The sequence below is a fragment of the Homo sapiens genome, chromosome 5 (assembly GCF_000001405.40).
Source record: "Homo sapiens chromosome 5, GRCh38.p14 Primary Assembly".
Classification (NCBI taxonomy): Eukaryota; Metazoa; Chordata; class Mammalia; order Primates; family Hominidae; genus Homo; species Homo sapiens.
The window spans coordinates 3,072,943-3,080,742 of record NC_000005.10 but is presented as its reverse complement, the minus strand read 5'-3'; the positions used below and the strand labels follow the sequence as shown (position 1 = coordinate 3,080,742).

Here is a 7,800-nt window from a genome sequence, read left to right as displayed (position 1 = left end):
CTTCCCCCTCCAGCAGGCCAAGCCCTCCTCTCAGCACTGGTCTCAGCCATGCCACGGAGTCTTGGCCCCCAAGCATGTGTTGCAGGACGGTGGGTCTGGACAGTGTCCACACCCTCGGCCTTAGCTTGCCAGCAGGGCTGAGAAGCACCAGCACTGCACGACAGGACTGGTCCGTGGCAGGGCCGCTGCGCCTGCAGCCTCCGGGCTCCTGGGGGCCATGCTGAGGAATATTCACAGTCATGTGTCTTTTCTTCCAACTCAGCACCCAACAGGATCGCATACATTGTCAGGGACAGAAAACCCACTTAGATCAGCTCAAAACCAGAGGATGTGTAAGCTGGTATAAATGAAAGTGGAAGGAGAGACACAGAGTTTTACTCCCCCTCTCTATTAGACCTAATTTCCATGTCCAGTTTCTGGCAGCCTCCAGTTCCTCCCAGGCCCCAGTGCAGACATCTCCATGCAGCGCCCCTGCTGCCTGCTCTCTGGGGATCTGACGGCCGGGCTCAGCATGGACTCAAGCCACCAGCCCTGATCCCCCTGGAGATCAGGGAGAGGCCCTGGCAGCTCCACCTCTCCAGGGCTCCACGGACCTGGGACCAGCCACCCAGGGGTAAGTGCCACAGCCTGGAGGTGCTGGAAGGAGGGCCCCTGGGGCAAATACTGGGCCATCTGGGCCGTCTTGGAAGCCAGCGGATAAATTTCCCTCCCTTCTAACCTCTGCAACCACCTGGGGCTGTTCTCAGCAGGTGGTTTCACACGCCCTGCCCAGAGCTGAGCCCCTGACTTCCCTGGTGCGGCTGGGCCAGATCAGAAGTGCTCAACCTTGAACCTGTGCCTCGCCTTCCTCACTGCTTGTTTCCCACCTGCCCCTGCCCTGCATCACACTCCTTGAAATTGCCACCTCTTAAATGCAGGCTCAGCACCTATTTTCTGGCGTGCCTGGCCTAAGGAGACCTCTACCATTGAAACTCAGACAGACGTGATCCCATAGTTATCCTTGGAGGCCTATGGATGCAGCTTTAACATATTCTGTGGAGAAGGGAAAATTATGTTTTTAAAATTCTTTCTCATGGCAGCCACATGCTCCCATGACTATGTCCTCAAGTCTGTCCTCACCTGTAGCCAGCAAGGCCCCAATAATATGGTCTCTAACTCTGATTGGGGGAAATGTGGAATAAACACATGTCCCTGAGCATTTCCTAGCTGGGGTGCAGCCTCTGACCTTCTGCAGCTTCTAGCACAGGCTGTGCCTCCAATGGCCTCTAGGACATTCATGTGACATGGATGGGGCCATTCCCCTGGCAGATTCTACGGCGCTGGTGCCTCACGGCTGCCAGCACAAGCACTTGTTCGCATGCAACTCCCTCTTTCCCAGCTCAGTGGGCCCCCAATGCAGGGGCTTTTCTTCAAATCCCCCATCCCTCCTATCCTTGCTGGCCTCCTCTTCTGCTGACAGTCTTCCTGGAGCAAGACCCAGGAGGCTGCAGGCGGAGTGGGCTGGGGAGGGAAGGCTGACAGGGCAGGAGGAGGAAGCCTGGCCCACCTCAAACCTCATCTCCTGGATGAGGCTTCCAGACAGCGGTCCTCTGAAAACATGACGGCCCGAGGGGTTTTGTACTCCGAGTCGTGTTGAATTTGTGTTTCTTCTTCAACATTTCTCATCAAAATGTCATGTTTCAGGAATAAGAATGGCATCAGAGTTTTTTATTAAATTTATTTTTAATTTTATGTATTTAAGGTTGTATAACATGATGCTTTGATATACATATATACACAGTGAAATGATGACGAAGTCAGGAACTTAACCCATCCATCGCCTTCCATAGTTACCTTTTTTATTTGTTTGTTTGTAGCAGCTAAAATTGATTCTCTTGGCAAATTTTCAGTACACAATACAATATTATTATCTCTAGTTTTCATGCTGTAACAGATCCCTCCTGGCATGTGGTAGATTTCCCTAGAGGTCCCTCTTGGCTCATGGTAGATCACCCTGTGGATCCCTCCTGACACGTGGTAGATCCCCCTGAAGGTACCTCCTGGCATGTAGTAGATGCCCCTGAAGATCCCTACTGACACTTAGTAGATCCCCCTGTGGATCCCTCCAGACACGCGGCGGAGTCCCCTGTGGATCCCTCCAGACACGCGGCGGAGTCCCCTGTGGATCCCTCCGGACACGCGGCGGAGTCCCCTGTGGATCCCTCCGGACACGCGGCGGAGTCCCCTGTGGATCCCTCCGGACATGCGGCGGAGTCCCCTGTGGATCCCTCCTGGCACGCGGTGGAGTCACCTGTGGATGGATCCCTCATGGTACATGGCAGATCCCCCTGTGGATCCCTCATTAGACTCCAGGTTCATTCATCCTGCATAACTGTAACTTTCACCCTTTACCTCTGCTGAGGTCCAGGATGTTCATCCTAGCCTCCTTCTCATTCCCCTTATGTACATTCTTGTTATTCTGCATTGATGAGTCTGATTCTCTTTTCCTACCACTTCATCACACCCTGTTCTTTCCTTTTTCTCTAAGCCCACCCTGTTCTCTGTCATCAAAAACTTCTTAGTTCATTTTCCCCTAGATTTCTTGCATCCTACTCTTTCTGTCTACTGAGGCCTTCATATCAGCCAGGAATCCCCATCCCAAAAGAGGCCTCTCTCACCCTGACAGCTTCCGGGAGACCCACAGGCTGCACCCCACTCCCTCCCGTGGTTCCTGGAGGGTGGCCTGCCCCCTCTTTGCAAGTCCTCACCAACCCTGACGTCTTGAACTCCTTGAAGTCAGGGTCACAAGTCTCTTGAAACTGCCCTTTAAAGTTTGCTGGTGGCCTCGTGCTCATCAGACCCAGAGGAGAGCTCCCTCTGTTGATGAGATTTGCCATGGGGTCCATTCCTCCTGCCCCTTCAGAGACACGCTCGGCTCCCTGGCTTCCCCAGCCCTCACCTACCTCTGCGTGCGGCTTCCTTGTCTCAGCCTTCTCTTCCCTCCTGGGGTCTCTCCCAGAAGCCTGCCCCAGCCTCCCTCCTTTCCCACTCTGTACTCCCTTCAGACGACCTCGTGCTTCACAGGGTTTAAATCCTTCTTCTGGGCAGGTGTGTGCCACACCCCATGGGTGTTCCTAGACAGTCTCCTCTGCATTCATTCTGGAGGTCCTGCATTCTGCTTCCTGAATCTTAGAATCTGGAATCTTTAGCCACAAACTCAACTTTCCAGAACCAACATTACCTACATCTTCTATGAATGGACCTTATCCTGATATCTATATTTTTGTCAACCAGTCTGACAACTTGCCTTCTCTCTCAAGCTGAAAAAGGAGGCTCATCTTTGATTCTTGTCTCTCACGTCTACATTCGAGGAGAAGCCATGTCTTATCTGCCATCAGTTCTACCTTGAAACATTTCCAGATTTCACTTCCTTCTCTCTCCTCAATGCCACCAGCTTGTGCCCCACATTCCTCCCAGGCAGCTTTCCATTGGCAAGGCCCCTGCTATTTGACTCCGGACCACAAGATCTGGGAGCCGCAGTGGAGTGGAGGGAGGGTGTATTAGTTCATTCTTGCATTGCTAAAAAGGAATACCTGAGACTGAGTAATTTATAAAGAAAAGAAGTTTAATTGGCTCACAGTTCTGCAGGCTGTACAGGAAGCACAGTGCTGGCACCTGCTCAGTGTTTTGGGGAGGCCTCAGGAAACTTGCAATCATGGTGGAAGACGATGGGGAAGCAGGCATGTCATACATGGCTGAAGCAGGAGCAAGAGAGAGCAAGGGGAAGTGCTGCACGATTTAAATTACCACAGCTCATGAGAACTCACTTACCATCATTGACAGTACCAAGGGCGATGGTGCTAAACCATTCATGAGAAACCATTCCCATAACCCAATCACCTCCCACCAGGCCCCACCTAAAGCACTGGGAATTACAGTTCAACACGCGATTTGGTGGGAGCACAGATCCATATCACAGGGAGGCTTTGATGTTAGAAGTCAGATTTGAGGCATCAGTGCCTCTCTCAATGCCGTTCTCCATACCTGTTGTCTATCACAGTGCCTGGCACACAGTAGGTACCCGGATGTGTTGGATGAGCTCAAGAACAGTCAGAAGAGTTACATATTCTGGGCGTATCACTTTTCAGATTTTACATCTCATAGCCTCCATTCTGCCATGTCTAAAACCGAGATGCAGGCATGTATTGCAGAGGACTATGGGGAAGGAGATGCGATCAGGTGCCTCATGTTCCCGCCACAGAGGAGGCATTGGATAAAAGGGAGCTATTATCGTTACTGAACGGCAAGGTTCATTTGTGGAAGTGTGGTTCTGATGATGCTGTTTAGTTGCTCAGAGCCTGCATTGTGTCCTCAGGGCCACTAGATTCACTCTGGTGTCTCTGAAGCCCTTAGCAGGATCCAGGGCGACCTCCACAATCACCCCAAAAGTTTGCTCACCTCCTGCCTTTGTTTGCACGTGGGAGTGACATCTTCAACACCGCCCTGCCTGAGGTCCTGAGCACAGTGGAATACACAGTTGGTGCTCAGCAGATGCTGGGAAGTGCGTGAATTCATGCTCTCAATCGGGTCCTCAAGCCCCCCTTTAATGCCATAATGAAAAAACAAAGGTTTGCAATGGGAAATAGAAAATAATGCTTTTGCAGTGCTTGAAACTAAACATGACTGAATTTTAAAAATAGATAATTTTTTAAAATATACATCTTCAATTTTTTAAGAAAAAATAGAAATTAAATGAGGGAGAATAGTTGTGAACTCCAGAAGGATATGTCTGGATTCTTGGAAGCTAGTTTTACCTCGCATTTTGCAGTTTCTAAGTTTAGTTCAGAGGTTGATAATGATAGCAACAACATTGATGACACTGATTCTCTGACCTCTTGGCTGAGAAAGGGCCTTGTCTGGGCTCATCACATGCATTTTCTCATCAGTTCTTGCAGCCCTCTGTAAGGGATCCCCACCCTCTAAGTAGAGCACTGTTACAAGAAGTGCTGCACAACTTTTCTTCTTATGCATTAGGGTGGGAGAGAAGGAAAGAAATCCATGTGCCTAACAAGCACTGGGTTAGGTGAGGAGTCAGGGGATAACAGGCAATAAAGTTGAGAATTGGAGAATTGATGAAATTACACACAGTGAAAGACAGAAAGTACTAGAACACACCAGGTTTGCAATCCCCCTTGGTAGGTGGAGGGAAGTGAGGGTGGCGGAGTTTGAGAAAACACTGAGATTTGCAGTTACCCAATCTGCTCACTAGGTGGTACCATCTTCCTAGGACAGCTTGGTTGCCAACTGCCAGGTTGGAGTTGGGTGGGGTGGGGTGGGGGTGGGGGAACAACCTCCTGGGGAGGGGCAAGGGTGGGTTTAGGTGTCTGGCAGCTGGTGGTGGGATATTTAAAGTGCGGATGACCCTAAACTGTGTGGCAGTCTGTAATTTCCCTTTGGCCTTACTTAGATAATATGTCATAATGTGTGAAGACACACATGTATGACACAGGAGAACATTTGATTTAATACAGTGTCTAGCTTGCAGTCTCAAATGTAAACACTTAGGTCTTCTCAATCAGTAGGAGACCTGATCAGCATCCAAGTGAATAAAAAATAGGCCAAAGACATTTTAGACACCGTCTTGTTGACAATGAACTCTTACCACTCAAGGCTTAGTAAATATACTTAAGTGTTTATGAAAATGAATACACTAAACTTATGAAAATGGTTTATTACAGAAACTAGAAGAAAAAGTTAGAAAATAGATGCATACTTTTAGTAACATCCAAGAAGACACAATCTCTATAAAGACAGGACAGAAAGTCAGAAGGAAAAAAAATGCTGAAACGAAAAGTAAGAAAAGATAATAAACACTTACATGGAGATTGCTATACACCAAACACTGGAGTTCATGTATATTAACGTATTCAGTCTTTGCAATAATCATGTAAAGTGAAAACCATTATTATCCTTATATCTCAGATGATAAAATTGAGATAGAGTTAGAGATAGAGATAGAGATAGGAATTTAATGTGGTTCACTAATTTGACAGTCTGTAAGGATCCACTTAGCCTCTTCACCCTTGCGTTTCCTTCTTCGGACAGACCTGTTTTGGCATCTTCCTTAGTGCTGGAAGATCCTGGATGCAGAGTGCAGACATGGAGTAAGATTGTATTGCCTGGAACACTGGGAGAAGCACCTGCGTTCGCTGACTTGCTGACCAGCAACCCATTGATGAGAGCAGAGCTTTTCCTTTCCGAAGCCTAGAGTGTGGTTTCCTGAAAGTCAGCAGCAGCAATGACACACATGTGCATTTGCAGTTCTGTGCCCCCTTTGCCTTTCTGAACTGTTCAGCAGGAGTACATTTGGGACCTGCACAGACTTTTTAAGGTTTGATGTGGTAACTCTGAGGAGCCAGAGGATCCCACACAAGGGGGATGTCATTAAAATTTATTGATTCCCGATCATGAGGGTGTGCAAGAGGTGTGTCAGCCTCTTCAGAAGGAAGCTTCCAAAACTGCATGTTCCCTGTCCTTCCGCCTCTGATAGAGCCCACGTGGGAGCATCCTTTTGGTAGAACAGGGGTGGGAGCCAGTGGCCTCTGACCTGAGACCCCAGGACGGACACACCAGGAAAATGTCCCCCAGGTAAACCCATTTGCCAAAGACTTTGCTTCTAACTAAGTTTAGCAATTTTTTTAAAAAATATAAATAAACAGGTCTTGGCCGGGCGCGGTGGCTCCCAGCACTTTGGGAAGCTGAGGTGGGTAGAATACCTGACATCAGGAGTTTGAGACCATCTTGCCAACATGGCAAAACCCCATCTCTACTAAAAATACAAAAATTAGCCGGATGTGGTGGCATGTGCCTGTAATCCCAGCTACTTGGGAGGCTGAAGCAGGAGAGTCACTTGCACTTGGGAGGAGGAGCTTGCAGTGAGCCAAGATCGTGCCACTGCACTCCAGCCTGGGTGACAGAGCAAGACTCCATCTCAAAAATAAATAAATAAATAAATAGGTCTTTGTCAGAGAAAGAGTACCTACGGAAAAGGTATTTTCTTTCTCCTTGGAAATTTCAGTTTAATGGGATGTAATAATCAGAAATATGTAGTTGATCATTATTCCCAGCTCCTGACACGGTTTCTAAAACTCTTGAATTTCCTGAGTGATGGGTGAGAGGGACATCTTTTGTTATTCTTCACAATCATCTTTCAACCATCCTGAGTTTATGCTAATGATGTGACTCCTGGTGGGTCCCCATATAGCTTCAGGGTAGGGCTGGTTGCCAGAGGAACATCCCTGTGAGTAGAGGGCAGGAACTTTCAGCCCCACTCCCTAATCTCCAAGCAGGGAAGGGGCTGGAGATGGAGCCCCATCACCAAGGGCCAGTGATCTAACCAGTCTTGCCCACGTAATCTAACCTCCATAAACCCCTAAGTAGTGGGGTTCCAAGAACTCCTGGACTGGGGAACATGGGGAGGTGCTGGGAGGTGGTGTGCTCAGAGAGGGCGTGGAAGCTCGGTGCCACCCTGGACCCCTCTCCATGCATCCCTTCCCAAGGTGTGTCCTTTATGATAAACTAGTCCTAGGAAGTAGAGTGCTTTCCTGAGTTCTATAAGCTGTTTTAGCAAATTATCACACCTGAGTAGAAGGTCTGGGAGGCCTGGGACATGCGATTCACGTCGTAGGCAAAGGCAGTCTTTTAGGACTGAATCTCACCCTGTGGGGTCTGCACCCACTCTGGGTAGTTAGTATATGAATTGTGTTGAATCACTGGACACCCAGTTGGCTTTGGAGAGTTGGAGGACTGGCCGGCATAAAA

At 48.8% G+C, this 7,800-nt stretch overlaps 1 annotated feature.

Annotated features, from left to right (window-relative positions):
• Positions 581–1,241: an enhancer, noted in NCBI's record as "H3K27ac-H3K4me1 hESC enhancer chr5:3079616-3080276 (GRCh37/hg19 assembly coordinates)". NCBI's record gives its function as "activates a minimal SCP1, AML or CMV promoter by ChIP-STARR-seq in naive H9 embryonic stem cells {active_cell/tissue: H9 hESC(naive)}" and the evidence as "EXISTENCE:reporter gene assay evidence [ECO:0000049][PMID:30033119]".